This window comes from Homo sapiens, chromosome 16, assembly GCF_000001405.40.
Source record: "Homo sapiens chromosome 16, GRCh38.p14 Primary Assembly".
NCBI lineage: Eukaryota > Metazoa > Chordata > Mammalia > Primates > Hominidae > Homo > Homo sapiens.
The window spans coordinates 80559651-80575884 of NC_000016.10; the positions used below are offsets into that span (position 1 = coordinate 80559651).

The following is a 16234-nucleotide window of genomic DNA, read 5'->3' on the forward strand; positions in this document are numbered from 1 at the left end:
TGGTGTTTAAGGAAAGCTGCATTAGGACAGACACACCTGAGCTGGACTATAAAGGGGGAATAGGAGTTTACGGTGGAAAGAAGAGAGAAAGCACTATCTGGACAGAAGGAACCCCAAAGGAGGGCATGCTCTAGGCAAGTGGCTTTTCAAACCTTGCTTTAGGAAACAGTAGCCTTTGCTCACACAGAACCTTGATCAAAGGCCAGCAAAGCTACTCTCCATGAAGCAGGACGGGGCTCCTTTTCCATGCCATTCTCTCATCCTGCCCTTGGCCACTCCACACTTAACACACAGTGGTCCTCACCAGAGTCTCATGGAACCCCAGGGCTATACAAGCAGACTTAGGAAACCACTGAACTAAGCAATACAAATTCTGCATTTGCAATGGTTAAAGTCAGAACTGGGATGGCCTTTTGAAAGTTTTGATACTGTCAGGCCACCCTAGATCCTTCCAGTTTTACTCCCCTCATCAAGTCTGATGACTTCATTCTTTCTTTGGAGGTGTCTGAAATTACCACCATGGTCACCTCCTGCAAAATCAGTTAGTTGTGTGGGTTCCCCATCTCTCTTCACATCTGGAAATGACTTACAAACAAGGATCTATCTTCTCCCTGCATTTTCTCCCACCAAAACCCACAAATTTTATTTAATGAAAAGTCACATAGCACTCAATATACCTGGACAGTGTCCCAAGCCCCTCCCAGATCTAACCAGCACCAAGTAGATACTTCATAAAAACTTGAATTAAAAACACCCTTTCAAATCTCAGCTTATTTTTCAAGATGATCTATTCCAGGGTTTTCCACACTTGCCTGATCATAACAGCAAGTTATGATACTTAAAAATCCTGGTACTTAAGAATCCAGATTCCCAGGATTCTGATTATCACTTCTCGTGTCTTTCTTTTCCAAGTGTGGTCAGGGAAGAGCAGCACCAGCACCACTTGGGAGCTTGTCAGAAATGCAGAATCCTAGGCCCTATCCCAGACCTACTGAGTCAGAATCTGCATTTAACCCGATTCCTAGGATTTTCTCATTCCCATTAAACTTTGAGAAGCACTACTCCAAGTCAGGGGACTTTATTCCGCCACCCCCCACCCCCAGCAAATGCCCTGGAGGAGAGGGGCTATAATTGGGAAAGTGGGTGAACATAGCAGCTCCATCGCTCTTCTCTGAATGAATCTCCCTCCACTGCCAAGTCCAGGCCACCCACAGCCACAGTCAGGAACCCTGAGAGAAGAAAAGGACTATTGTATATAAGTCAAGGTATGCCCCCATCCTGACTAAAAGAAAGAGAAAGCAGACTCCTGTAAAATCCACCCAAAGTAGGGAATCCTGATTCCCCAGCCAGGTTTCATGCCCCCAAGCATTTGTGAGTTCCCAGGGGAGCCTCAGGCTGCCAGTGAGCCAGTCCACCCATTTTCCATGTGGCATCTCCATGACCTTCCCCTACACCTCCTCCAACCCTCTTCCCTTGGCACTCACATGTCCACAGGACAATGCCATTCCTTCCAGAACTACTGAGTTCTGAACATCACAGACACTTCCTACAGGAACCACTGAACTAGAGGATACAACCCCACTCACCTGCCACCACCATGTCCTCCCATGCACGATTGCCACCTGCAAGGTCCGTCTGGAATTAGAAGACGGGAGTCCTGTTTGGGCACCTTGGGAAGTCTACTCTTTGAGTTTTCACATTTCAGAAAGTTTCCTAGATATAGACCTCATTCTCTAATCAGAATGGTTCTTTCACTCAGAGAAGGTGGTCTTACCAAGTTAAGCCTGCTTGTCGTGACTTCCTCTTCACTTAGGGTGAGTTCTTTCCTGGGAGCTCCTAAACATGCATGCAAACGTATTTCTGATAGAGACAGCTTATTCATCGGCTAGATGTGCCTGGATCCCAGTGTGAACACAACCTGGGCTCAAACCAGGTTCCTAGAGCACGTGTGCAACGCAGTGTAGAGTAAAGGAGTCTATGCTTTGTTATAGTTATTTATGAATGTCACCCCACTTGATTTCAAAATTACCTAGCCTGGCAGGCCTTATTAATCCCATTTTTCTGATAAGGAAAACGAGGTTCCTATGAGGGCAGTATCTTGCTCAGAGCTGCACTGTTTGACTCAAAGCTTCTTGAGTTCAGAAACTAAGCCTTATTTCTCACTATCTGTCTCCCCAGACCCTGTGCATTGTTCAGTATCTGCACTTCGTCTGTGCTCAGCAAATGTCTGTTGAATAAAAGAGTAAACGAATTGTGAATGTGGCCACAATCCACATCGGCAGTGGTGGGGATGCAAATAGGGACACATGCTTTAAATGAAAACACTCATCACTGGGAGCTCCACCTTCCAGATCCTCGGGACATCTGGGTTCTCTTGGACCTATCCCTTTCCACCTCTTCCCAGACCACTGACCCTGGTGTACTTTCTATTCCTGTCAATACAGAAGACAAGATGGTCCACGCTCAAGGTTAGGATAATCACCTCCAACACAGCCAGAAACTCCCTCACATGTGTTTGTGGGCATATTTGTTTGTGTGTGCACACATGGGAACATTTTACAAGATATACATCAAGACAACATTAATCATAGTGATTTCTTTTTTGTGGGGGTGGGCAGAGTCTCGCTCTGTCACCCAGGCTGAAGTGAGTGCAATGGCAGGATCTCAGCTCACTGCAACCTCCACCTCCCAGGTTTAAGTGATTCTCCCGCCTCAGCCTCCCAAGTAGCTGGGATTACAGGCACCCACCATCATGCCGAGCTAATGACAGTGATTTCTGCGTGAGTGGGATTATGCCCAATTTTATTTTCTCCCTTTCCACCTTTACACTTTTCTTCTTCAATTTAAATTTGTATTGAGGCATGACATGCATATAAAGAGCACACATCACTTAAGTACCTAGCTTGAGCAATTTTAACAAACTGAAACTATTCGTGAACCCAACACCCAAATCAAGACCCTACACATGACCAGCTCCAAAAAGGTACATTTGGGGCTCCCTTTCGGTCCCTAATGCCCACCCCCAAGAGTCACCAAGAGCCTGATTTTTATCACCAGAGAAGAATTTTTTCTCTGTGTGTGTGTGTGTATGTACTTGGTATAAAGAGAATCTCACTCTTTTGTGTCTGGCTTCTTTCAATCATCAGAACTCTAGTGAGATTTGTCCATATTATGCTGGAGCCATAAATCACTTGTTCTCATTGCTATTTATTGCTTTTTTAGGCATAAAAACTAACATAAATATTTTTAACAGGAAAAAGAAACCAGAGAAGTCAATGCTTTCAGCCACTGGTCCCCAGATACCAGCAATCCAGCAATCTCAGTGGAAAAAACAAACACTCTGGAATCATAGGTTCAAATCCAGACCCGGCCACTCACCTTTCCAGAGAGTGTTATTTCACAATGTGAGCCTCAGTTTCTTAATCTGAAAAATGGTGATCTTCATAGTTCCATGTGCAGGCACTGGTGACTTCCACCCAGATGTCCTTGTATTCTGTTTATTCCTGCTCAATGTTCATCTGCTGGCCTTGGGTATTTTTGCATCCAACTGCCCTTGGGTTGCTAAAGCCTTTTACAGGCACAGATGGGAACCACAGGTGCCTGGGAGTTTATTTATGCTGAGCCTCAAGGCCCAGAGCCAGTGACTGTCGGGTGCAGGGGTATGGAACTCCAGCTTTCTGGCATGCAGGACAGGTGCACTGTACGCTCCAGGGTTCCCCTGCAGGAGCAAACTCAAGCTCCCCTCCACAGGTCTCGGCCTGAAATCACACTCTTCTTGGGCTTCTCTCTCTTTTCACCCCTCTCCCCCTCTCCTCTGCCAGTTTTCCCTGGGAGTTCCTCCTTAATAAGTCACATGCACAGGATTTTTTTGTTTTGTTTTGTTTTTTGTTTTTTTGAGACAGCATCTGTCTCTGTTGCCCAGGCTGGAATGCAGTGGCATGATTTCGGCTCACTGCAACCTCCACCTCCCAGGTTCAAGCAATTCTCCTGTCTCAGCCTCCCGAGTAGCTGGGATTACAGACACCTGCCACAATGCCCAGCTACTTTTTGTATTTTTAGTAGAGACAGGGTTTCACCAGGTTGGCCAGGCTGGTCTCAAACTCCTGACTTCAGGTGATCTGCCTGTCTCAGCCTCCCAAAGTGCTGGGATTACAGGCATGAGCCACCGCGCCCATCCATAGGAATCTTTATACAGGGTCCACTTCTAGGGTACCTGGTCCGATGTTCCCTAAAGATTGTTGCAAGGTAAACATGGATAGTTGTGTATAAATCACCTGGCACCGACAGGTGCTCACACTTGTTAAATCTGTTCCCCATATCAACAGCAGGCTGGCTTTGCTCTGTGGCCACAGGCCTCAAATCATAAAATTCCCCAGGGTTAGAAGGAACCATAAATGTCCTGGACTCCTGGAGCCCTGAATTACTTAAATCACTCTTATCTCTCCCTGAAGAGTATTACGATGGCTTCTAAATGAAATAACCAGGGACAGCATTCTCCCCGCAAAACTCCAGCTTTATTGCATTACAATCAGCACAGCCATCTCGAGTGGAGATGAAGCTGTGAAGAGCGGATATTAAAGCCACCAGCTGCTTTGAGTGTCCCCCAGATCGGCAGCTAGATTACTGGCCTGGGCAGCACCTGCACCCTCTCCCATTCTACCCTAGCTGGCTGGAGGAGGCTCTGTCCTTGGGCAAAAGTGGGCACCCCTTGTGAAGCACTCACTTTTCCTGGGAAAGAGGGCTACCTGCACCATAATCTAAAAGTACAGATAGATGTTAAAAATAGGAAGGAAAAACATAGCAAACGCGGAATTATCTCTTTTCTTAAAAAAAGAAAATTCATTGTAACTGAATAATCCGTGGCACTGATCTGTATTCTAAGAGCAGGTTTTAGACTTGTTTCCCTCAACAGGAAGCGACCATCAGGGCCAGATACTGACAGGAAGCAGTTCTTTCATATTAATAGTTGCCGTTTATGTGCCGTGCACTCCTCTAAATGTTTAACAGTCTTTGAAGAAGCTATGTTCATCTTTGATTTGCAGATGAGGAAATGGAGATGTCAAGGAGGTAAACAGCTTACCTCCGAACCCATGCAGCAGGTGGTAACAGAGCTGAGACTCAAACCCCATTCTGTCTGCTTCCAAGGATGTCCTGTTAAGCAGAGCTATGGCCAGGAATTTGGATTCAAAAGATGTTTTAGTTTCCTTGAGTTTTACTGCAAATTGGGTGGCTTAAAACAACGTAAATGCTCCTCATCGTTCCTGAAGCTAAAATCCCTCCTTATATCTTTCTAGCTCTGGTGGTGGCTGGCAATCCCAGGCTTGTAGCGGCACCACTCCAACCTCTGCTCTTAGGGTCACACGGCATTCTCCCTGTGTGTCTGTCTTTGTGTCATCCTCCTTCTTCTTACTAGGACACCAGCCCTACTGGATTAAGAGCCCACCCTACTCCAGTGTGACCTCATCCTAACTAATTACATCTGCACCAACCCTATTTCCAAAGAAGGTCAGATTCTTAGATACTGGGGATGTGACTTCAGCATGTGTTTTGTGGGGACATGATTCAACCCACAACAAGCAGCCAGAAACTCAATTTCTTTCTTTCTTTCTTTCTTTCTTTCTTTCTTTCTTTCTTTCTTTCTTTCTTTCTTTCTTCCTTCCTTCCTTTCTTCTTTCTTTTTTCTTTCTTTCTTTCTCTTTCCTTTTTTTTTTTGATGGAGTTTTGCTCTTGTCACCTAGGCTGGAATGCAACGGTGCGATCTCAGCTCCTCAGCTCACTGCAACCTCCACCTCCCAAGTTCAAGTGATTCTCCTGTCTCAGCCTCCTGAGTAGCTGGGATTACAGGCGCCCACCACCATGCCAGGCTGCTTTTTCTATTTTTATTAAAGATGGGGTTTTGCCATGTTGGCCAGGCTGGTCTCAAACACCTGACCTCAGGTGATCCACCCGCCTCAGCTTCCCAAAGTGCGGGGGTTACAGGCGTAAGCCACCACACCTGGCCCAGAAATTCAGTTTCTAAACAAGGAAATTCAAAGAAACAGAGGAGGGGCTTGTTCTCCTGCCTCACAGAGGGACCCCTGGTCAGGCACTCAGTGCCTTTGATCCTAAGTCTCCATCTCTGTCTTTGTTCACCTGCTGCTGAGGTACTGGTCTCAGAAGAAGAGGCCAGCTCAGCACTGCAACAGGAATAAGGAAGAGCATGGGGGAGGGAGTTCAAGCTTCAAAATATGGTGCCCTCTTAATTGCAGTATTCTGAGGCAAAACCCTATGACCCGTTCTGGTTAAGACTCTACTCATAAAATACTTCTTCCAGATGGGGTCCTTAACTGCAAGCATGGAAACCAACTCTGGATGATTTTAATTGAAAGAAAATCTATTTTAAAGATAGGATCTAGCTCACTCAATAGCCAAGAAGGCTGGAGGACCAGCTTAAACAGTGCCCAGGAGCAAGAGAGTCTAAGAGACAGCCAAAATCAGAACCAGCCAGCCCAATGCAGACATTAGTGCCACTTGAGCATGGTCCCGCTGCCATGGGCCCACAGCCCTGCTGCCAGTAGGCCTTTGACATTACTACTGCTACCACCACACTAACAGCAAAGATTCTTCACTACCCCTGACTTTTCAGGCCACTGGCTCCAGATTCATAGTCACTGGTTGAGCTTGAGCCTAGCACACCCATCTAAGGACTCGTTGCAAGGAAGTCTGGGAAAGCAGGAATCTATCTTCTTGAGCCTTAATAGAGAAAGATGGCCACTGACTCCTCCGAAAATGAGTCATACACTGAGCAGTTACACAAATATAGGAAGGAGGTTCAAATGTTGGGCAAACAATGCAAAGTTGGTTTTTAGGGAAGATTCAATCTGGGTGTCCAGAAGCAAAGGTAAGATGGCAGGTGTCAGGGCCAAATGTGCTAAAAAGGGAGTTCACAGCTCATGGACTGGAGAGACTGGTGCCAGAAGTCTCTGAGAGGCCACAGAGACAGAACATAGATTAGGGATTGCCCTGGGCTGCAGATGGGGGAATGGGGAGTGGCTGCTTTTTAAGGAGATAAAAATGTTTGGGAATTAGATTGTGGTGATGGTGGCATGACATTGTAAATACACTAAAAACCACTGAATTGTACACATTAAAAGGGCGAATTTTATGTTATATGATTTTATCTCAAAAAAGAAGTCTCAGAGGGGTAGCCAGACCCCTCAAGTTCAAGTTCACAAAGAGAATTCCATCATCAAAAACTAATGCAATGGGCACCGGAGTTGCATTAAGTTCCCCATAAGAGTGATGCAATTTGATGAACACGTGTTGGTCTAGGGGAATGGAATCAGTGGGCCAAATATGTCAGTGGTCCCAAATCTCCCACTTTCTTCTTGGAAAAGACTCCATCTCTTTGCTCGCTGAGTCACAATGAAGACATACGTTCCCCTTTGTTTCTGCTCAGAATCACTGGAAGACAATGCCCAGTGATGATGGGTTTTCTACCTGAGATAGAAGCTTTTTTGTTTTAAATGAACTTATCTTGGGGCAATAGGGGACACAGAATACAGAATTAGAATATGAATGATATTTGGTGGTGTAGATTCTGTGACCCCTATGCCAGGGACTGCCCACTGAATCCTCTCCCCATTCTGTGAGGTGGGAAGAGGATTGGGGTTGGGGCTGGTGGTAACTAGCTCCCTTTTCACAGATAAGAAAAGTGAGCCACAGAGAAATTGTGTGATTGGCGTCTGGGACGTCTGCCTTCAGAATTCTCAACCAATCTTCATTACCACATCTGCCTTGGGCATATTTATTCAAGGATGTAGCATGCCATGGGAGTAAGTAAGGTGGTGGGAGTGCGGGGAGAAGAACGAAGATAAGAGTGAGACCCTGTAGGAGAGAACAAATAACTTTGAAGGACAGAAGTGTTCAATTTTCCATTTTTAATTTTGGGGGTATGCATATGCATGCCCAAACCTTTAGCCAAGTCTGCTGTGGAAACAAAGGTCTTGTGTACACAGATTTGTTTTTGTTTTTGTTTTTGTTTTTTTCTGTTGTTTTTGCTGATGTTGTTTTGGCAGGAGGTGATTGATTGGTTAATAAAAGAAGATAAGTTTCACATTTGTATCCAGGCTGGCAGAAATAAAGGAACAGAGATGAGATTTAGAGATGGGAACTTCCTAAAAGAAGCCAGAAGTCAGATCTAAAGGTGAACTTGAGGTGGTGAAACTACCTTGGAATTCACAGGAATTGCAGCTACTCATAACTAGATCTTAAGGGGCGGGGAGACCCCATCGTTATATGGATTCTACATTTCTTACCTCCCATATTGGGCTTTGAGCCTTTCCAGGCCAGGATCCAAATTTGGATTCATCTTCAAAGTCCCACTAGCACATTGTAAGGACTCCATAACTGTTTACTGAATTAATACATTCAAGAGAGGCTTCTTGTGCATACATCATTACGTAGGTCAGAAATTATATTTGCCTACAAGGAAAAGACCAGATTTCAGTGTTTAAATAGGTAAGAAATCAAAAGGTGGGCATAAAGTCTGCTGTATGTCACAATGTCACAAACGTGCTTCTATCATTCTATTCTTCATGTCTTTCAAATATCCTCATGGTCCCAAAGTGGCTGCTGTATCTCCAGGCCACACCCCACCACTGCCACCCTCCCCAGTCAACCACATCCCCACCTCTCCCACCCTCCTCACTCAACCACATCCCCACGTCTCCCACTCTCCCCACTCAACCACACCCCCACCTCTCCCATTCTCCCCACTCAACCACATCCCCACCTCTCCCACCCTCCCTACTCAACCACACCCCCACCTCTCCCATTCTCCCCACTCAACCACACTCCCACCTCTCCCACCCTCCTCACTCAACCACACCCCCACCTCTCCCATTCTCCCCACTCACCCACACCCCCACCTCTCCCACCCTCCCCACTCAACCGCACCCCCACCTCTCCCACCCTCCCCACTCAGCCACATCCCCACCACTCCCACCCTTCCCACTCAACCACACCCCCACCTCTCCCACCCTCCCCACTCAACCACACCCCCACCTCTCCCACCCTCCTCACTCAACAACACCCCCACCTCTCCCACCCTCCCCACTCAAACACACCCCCACCTCTCCCACCCTCCCCACTCAACCACACTCCCACCTCTCCCACCTTCCTCACCCCCTCCACAACCAGTTCTCATGGCTCCAGCCACACCATTTCCTTCTGAGAGCCTTGTTCTTGTCTTCTCCATGCTCCTTCCTGCCCCATGTTCATGTCAGGAGGAAGAAAAGGAAAGAGACCAGTGGTTTTCTCTGAGCCAGGCTTTACTTGAGAAGGAAAGCCTTTCCAGGAACCTCTGGCTACATTTCACCAACTAGAACTCGCTCCAAGTGGAGGGAGGCAAGGTAGAAGGGAGTTGATACATAGGTCATAAGAAAGGAAGGGTCTTGACGTTCCTTTCAACCCAGCTGGGGATCTATCTGAAATGTAAGCATTGTTGATATCATTGCAACAGTGACAATGGCTATGAAGGAGAAAGACAGGTGCCAGCAAATGAGGAAACTGAGGCTGTGAGAGATGAACTCGCCTTAAATTACACAGCTGGGACTCTAGGGGACTTAGAAGCCCATTGTCTTTATATCTGCTGCTGGGAGGGCAGACAGCAGCAGCCTCTCCTCTCCCGTTCTCCAGGTTCCTTCCAGTGAGGTCTGTGTTTGTTCTTTCTCAGAGGCCAGGCCAAGCCAGACCTCACAGGCAAAGCACTTTGTCTGGTGGCAAAGTCCTATATCAAACAAATTCAAGGCCTCTCAGGTCTGCAACTCTGCTCCTGCCTCACAGCCAGGGATGGAGGGATGATGCTGGGGCCACAGGAACTCTGAGTCATCGCCGGGGATGGCAGCTCTGGATAAGGCAGCAGTAGACCTCAGGCATCCCCGCACTCCTGGGGACCAGGGGCCTGGCCTGGAAAGGACCTGCATTACTGGGGATTCACACCACCCTCCCCTCACCCTGGACACCCTACCATGATGGCTCAGGTCACAGACTAGACTGGGCCCCTCTGCCAGCCTTCCCCCGACTTCACAATGCTGTATTATCAGAAACCATGAGGTGTACAGCAGAGTCAGGGTTGGGTCGGGGGGAGTGGTAATGACTCTCTATGACTCATTTTGAAGGGCCCAGAGTCAGCGTGAGAGGGGGTGGAGGGCAAACCCAATAGCAGCTCAGAGGAGCCACAACCAGCCATAAAAATAGGTTTCATATCACAGCCCGGTACATCCATCTGCAGATAAGCATACAGCACAGAAACACATTTGCACGCAGCAACCCTTCCTTCACTCCGTGAAATAAACTGTGATTTTATTCTATTCTATTTCCTTCCTTCCTTCCTTCCTTCCTTCTTTCCTTCCTTCCTTCCTTCTTTTCATTCTCTCTCTCTCCATCTCTCTTTGACAAATGCTAGTTGGTTGAGACCCAAAAAAATAATGTCATGATACCTTGAGGGGAAACCTGTTGTTAAATTATGGTGACTTAGCATATTGGCTTCGCAGCACAACTGAACTCGGTTTGAACTTGCTGATGTGTGAACCAAGCCAAGTAACTTAGCCTCTGGCATCGGACCACTTTTCTAAACCACTAACACCATGATTCCATTTCCTGACCTTTCTTCCAGACCACACCATGACCTCCAACCCGTCCTCTCTAAAATGCACCCTGGACCTCATGGCTGCACGTTCCCACTGCATGCACTTTCCACCTGCAGCCCGCCAGCCCTTGTCCACACCCCTCATGCATTCCTTTTGATCTTAATAAAAAGACAAAGTTCCTGCCTTGGCTGGAAAAATCAACAAAGGCTAAGTGGTTTCCCGCTCTCCCCACTCAAGTCCACCCCCACTAGTCCACCCTCTCACCCTCCCAACTCAACACCACCCCCACCACTCCCACCCTCCCCACTCAACCCCACTCCCACCACTCCCACCCTCCCCGCTCAACCTCACCCCCACCACTCCATCCTCCACACTCAACTCCACCCCCACCACTCCCACCCTCCCCACTCAACCCCACCCCCACCTCTCCACCCTCCCCACTCAACCCCACCCCCACCACTCCACCCTCCCCACTCAACCCCACCCCCACCACTCCCACCTTCCCCACTCAACCCCACCCCCACCACTCCACCCTCCACACTCAACCCCACCCCCACCACTCCCACCCTCCCCACTCAATCACACCCTCACCACTTCCACCCTCCACACTCAACCCCACCCTCACCACTCCCACTCTCCCCATTCAAGCCCACCCCACTCTCCCTCCATCCACACTCAACCCCACCCCCATCACTCCCACCCTCCACAGTCAACCTACTTCCATCACTCCCACGCTTCCCCCAAAATGGGGAAGGAGGAAGGGAAAAAAGGGGGTCTGAAATGCAATAATGTATGTAAGGAATTTAGCACTATTTTTGGCATAGAGTGAGCAATCACTCAAGGTGGGGACCATCTCTATCCCCAAGTGCTGATGTTGAAACTAACTGCTGAGAGGAGAGAAGTGTCTAGGCATTGGGTGATGAGGTCAGATCTGTGTTTTAGGAGTGGTGTATACTTTTGCTGGCTTCTGCTCTTTGGTTCCATCTTTGAAACCCCATGACCTTCTGTTCTTCCTGATATCATGGGTGCTCTCGTCCTGTCCTGTGGCTACATCCTGCCTCTGGGCTGGAGACCCCCACACTCACATCACTAGTCCAGCTTCTGTCCTTGACTCCAGGCTCGTTCATCCAGCTGCCTCCTGGACATGTCCCCTCAACTCTCCAGTGGGCCACAAAATAATCATGGCCACAAAACCCCTTGATCAGCCTCTCCTCCCCACTCAAGCCTGCCCTCCCTCCCCATCTCAGTAAAGGGCATCTTCTCCATTTTGGGCTTTCCTTCACAGCCCCACATCCTCCATCAGCAAGTCTTTGTGGTTCTGCCTCAAAATAAATCCCCAGTGGACGCTCTCCAGTCCCACTGGCACCATCCAAGCCTCCATCATGGCTCATTTCCTGGGATCGGCAGAATAATAGGCCCCAAAGGTGCCCACTACCCAAAATCTCCAAAACCTGTGACTGGGTGACCTCACATGGCAACAGGGACTGTCAAGATGTGATTAAGCTAAGGACCTTGAGATAGTGAGATTATCCTGGTTGTCTAGATGAGCCCGGTGGTAGTCCATTCTTGAAATGCTATAAAGAAACATCTGAGACTGGGTCATTTGTAAAAAAAGAGGTTTAATCGGCTCACAGTTCTGCAGGCTGTACATGAAGCATGCTAGCATCTCTTTCTGGGGAGGCTTCTGGAAGCTTCTCTTCATGGTGGAAGGCAAATCGAGAGCAGGCGCCCCACATGGCGAAAGCAGGAGCAAGAGAGCCAGAGGGAGACGCTCCCTATTTTTAAATGAACTGATCTCATGAGAATTCACTCACTATCGAGAGGACAGTACCAAGGGGGATGGTACTGTCCCCATTCATGAGAAATCCACCCCCATGATCCAGTCACTTCCCACCAGGCCCCACCTCCAACACTCAGGACTACATTTCAATATGAGATTTGGGCAGGCTCACAGATCCAAACTATATCAAGTCCAATGTAATCAGAGGGGTCCTTAGGAAAGGGAGGCAGGAGGGTCAGAGTTACTGTAGAGGTGATGATGAGGGAGAGACAGAGAGAGACAGGAGGAGGGAGATTTGAAAATGCTATATTTCTGTTTTTCAAGATGAGCGAGAAGTCACAACCTGCATCTGCAGGCAGCCTCTAGAAGCTGGGAAAGGCAAGGAATGGATTCTCCCTTGGAGCTTCCAGAAGGAACACAATCCTGCTGACACCTTGATTTTAACCCAGTGAGACCCATGTCAGATTTCTGACCTACAAAACCATGGGATAATAAATATGCGTGTGTGTGTTTTTTAAGCCACATGAGATTTGTGGTAAGCTTGTTACAGCAGCAATGGGAAACTCACCCACCTCTTCACTGTCTCTGCCTCTTAACTGGTCTCCCTACGGTTCCTCTTGGCCTGTTACTCCATTCTCTGCACAGTAGACAACGTGGGCTTCATAAAACCTTCTATCAGATCACATCACTTTGGCAAAGAAAACCTTCCAATGGCTTCCATCATCCTTAGAACAAAATTCCAACTGTTCAACATGGCTGAAGAAGTCCAGTTCCTAGTCTCTCTGAGTACACCCTCCCTCCGATGTCCCCCTCTTGCCCCCACTTCTCTAGACTCTAAACACCCTGGACGTCTTTCTTTTCCTTGAGCAATTCACCCATGTTGCCACCTCCAGGCATTTTTCTGGGCTGTTTCTCTTCCAGGAATTTTCTTGTCATTTGCCCTTAAGGGCTTGGTCTGAGGTCTTCTCTGATGACATCTGCATGTTAAAAAAAAAAAAAAAAAAAAAAGCCCCTCTGTCCTTGGCAAATCTCTATCACGTTCCCCTGGTTTATTTCATCTCTACCATTTATCAGTAACTGAAATTACCTTATTCATTTATTTATTTCTTTGCCTACAATTGTGTGGTTGATGCGGGGAGTGAGGCAGTTGTTTCTCAGTCCCCCAGCACTCGAATGATGGCTGGGCTATGGCAGCACTCAATATTTATCAGTTTGGATGAAGGAATGCATGCATGCATGAATGAATGAAAGGAGGAACGCAGCCCTATATAGTGGCTGGCGCAGAGTCAGTGTTGAATAAAGATGACTTATTTAATATCCTTATCATGATGATGACCAATGAGAAAGTGGCTTGTTCACCATGAAGTCCTACACACAAGTGTGTCTTCCTCATTAACTGCGTTAGCTCCCCTGCTGGGGGAGAGCCAGCTGGGACTGCCTTGGGTCTCAGCACCCCAAGAATCAAGTTGAAAGATGCAGGGGCCTGGCATGGGGTGTAGGAAGTCTGAGCTGGCAGAGACCCAGTCTAGTGGCCAGACAAGAAGAAAGAAAGTTCCTTGGGGGAGACGCTTGTGTTATTACAAGTGCAAACTTAGAGAGGCAACAAATGCCTATTTCTCAGTGTACACACACACACACACATATGCACATACACACACACACACCCCACCTCAGACCCACCAGGGCCCTGCCAGCAGATCCAGCGGATGAGAAACCTCTGGAGGATGAATTTGCAGACGCCTCCCCAGGCGCTATCTGGAGCGACCCACCAGTCATTAACACTCTATGCAGCTGAGCACATGCTTTTTATTGGGATGAGTATAAATAAACAACAACAGGAGACTTGAAAAAAATGACCCCCAGAGGAAACCCGATCCTCAGGCAATTAGAGCACTTCTGTTCAGATAATTGCTGGCTGAAATGGTGAGCTGGGTGCCAATCCTCCAAAGGCAACAACACTGGCCACCACAGGCTGATTGCAGCCCCCCAGCCACGTGAGCCTCCCTGCCTTTGTCTGCTACTCAGTGAAGGGAAACCCAGAGTGTGAATAGTGCATGCACCATGTTCAGTGAATCTGGCAGTGAGTGTGGCCAAGGCAGGGGTTCTCACAGGGGTGGGTGATTTTAGCCCCCAGGGTAAGTTTGGCAATGTCTGGAAATAATTTTGGTTGCTCCAGCCGGCATTTAATGGGTGGAGGCCAAAGATGCTGCTAAACGCCCTGCAATGCCCAGGATAAGCTCCCACAATAGAGAATTGTACAGCCCAAAGTTATCTGCAGTGCTGCAGTTGAGAAGCCCTGGTTTAGAGAGAGGAGCTCCCTAAACATCTACAAAGGCAGAAGCTGCTAATGGACTCAGAACACTCACCATGGGCCAAACACTGTCAAACATAAGGCTCCATCGCCGAATCCTCATAACAGCATTATGAGGTTTAATTACCACCTTAGTTTCACAGATAATGAATGAAACTGAGAGCAAAGGAGCTTCTAGAAGATGTTAAGCAACTTGTTCAAGATCCCACTGCTAGTCCACACACGGCCAGCCTTCGAAGCCGAATTGACCCCAAAGCCTGGCTTTTGGCCCCAGGCACAACCAGTGCTCACAGTTATAAAGCTCTTACTTTGTGCCAGTCACTCTCACACATACCACCTTCTAGACTCCATGGGAAATGTGGAATGGTCGGGAAAACACAGCCTTTGGCTTCCTATGGACCTGAATTCTATGACCTGCTCTGCCATTTTTATTTGCCACGAAATCTTGGGCATGTTAGTGAAACTCTCTTGTTTCTTTATCTGTGAAATGGGCCAATAATGTGACCCGCCAAAGGGTTTATGCAGTATTGTATGTAAATGCCTTCCAACAGGGCCTAGCACACTGACCTCAGTGAACAGTAGCTATGACTGTGATTGTTACTACTGAGTTTGAAATTCAGAGCCACAGAGGTGCTGATTTTTATTAGGGAAACGGCCACATAGCGCAAGCAAGGGAGACTGAGGGTGGGGGGCAAGAAGGTGAGAGGGACAGGAGGCAGTCCATTCCTGTAGCTGCCAGAACTGTTGCACCCAATGTCCCTTTGTCCTCCCTCCTTTGGGGAAAGTGCTGTGTTTGGTTTGCTGGTGAAGGCCCATGATCCTCTGTCTCACAGAAATAATCAAACCTGTAAACATAAAAGAGTGGGCTGCAGGGAGGGCAGGGGGATTCCACTGCAGAGTATAGGGCCACTCTGTCTTTGAGCCTGTTGGAGGTGGGGCAGGGGCTAGGATCACCCCCAGACAACACACATAGCTAGGCTTCTTCCCTTATGAAGGGAGGAGAATTAACACTTTTTCCCCATCTGTTCTGCAAAGGTACTTTAGATACAGCTCATCCAATTTTCCCAGAAATCCCTGCAAAGTCATATTACACCCATCTCACAACTGGGAAAATTGAGGCCCAGTGAGGTTTGTTAATGTGGTCACAGTTGTACAGCTGGGAAATGGCAGCTCTGAGCCCTGATTCAGTGCTGATGCCTTTAACCACTCCACCTCAGGCCCAGTGTGACTGTGCAATATGGTGCTAAGACTGGTGGGCCCACTGGGGGCTTCTCTCTACCTCCTTTCTCTATCCCACTAGGGACTGTTGGCCACAGTAAGCATATGTCCCAAGCCCCAGACCAGCCTCTTGGTCTGAAAAGATTGAGTGTACTTAGCAGGCACAATGGGACTAAAATCAGGACCTCCTAGAACAGCACTGTCCCACAGAACTTTTGGACAATGCAAGTGTTCTATATTCACGCTATTCAATGTAGTGGCTGCTAGCCACAGGTGTGAGCTAGTACAATTTCA

At 47.9% G+C, this 16234-nt stretch overlaps 2 long non-coding RNA genes across 3 annotated transcripts in view; both read right to left on the reverse strand.

Annotated features, from left to right (window-relative positions):
• DYNLRB2-AS1 (DYNLRB2 antisense RNA 1) overlaps window positions 1–3485 on the reverse strand; it is a 407178-nt gene extending 403693 nt beyond the window's left edge. The window contains exon 1 of the long non-coding RNA NR_120307.1: window positions 3379–3485. This is a non-coding gene — a long non-coding RNA (DYNLRB2 antisense RNA 1). The remainder of the gene's footprint in view (window positions 1–3378) is intronic.
• A 3967-nt stretch (window positions 3486–7452) lies between these two features.
• LINC01227 (long intergenic non-protein coding RNA 1227) lies at window positions 7453–13158 on the reverse strand. 2 transcript variants are annotated; one of them, NR_104665.1, is made up of 4 exons: window positions 9575–9960; window positions 9157–9246; window positions 8298–8463; window positions 7905–8109 (listed from the first exon to the last, which is right to left on the reverse strand). It is a non-coding gene; the product is annotated as a long intergenic non-protein coding RNA 1227 (long non-coding RNA). The 2 variants fall into 2 exon arrangements; NR_104666.1 differs by lacking the exons at window positions 7905–8109; window positions 9157–9246; window positions 9575–9960 and adding exons at window positions 7453–7866; window positions 12984–13158.
• Window positions 13159–16234: the final 3076 nt, after the last annotated feature.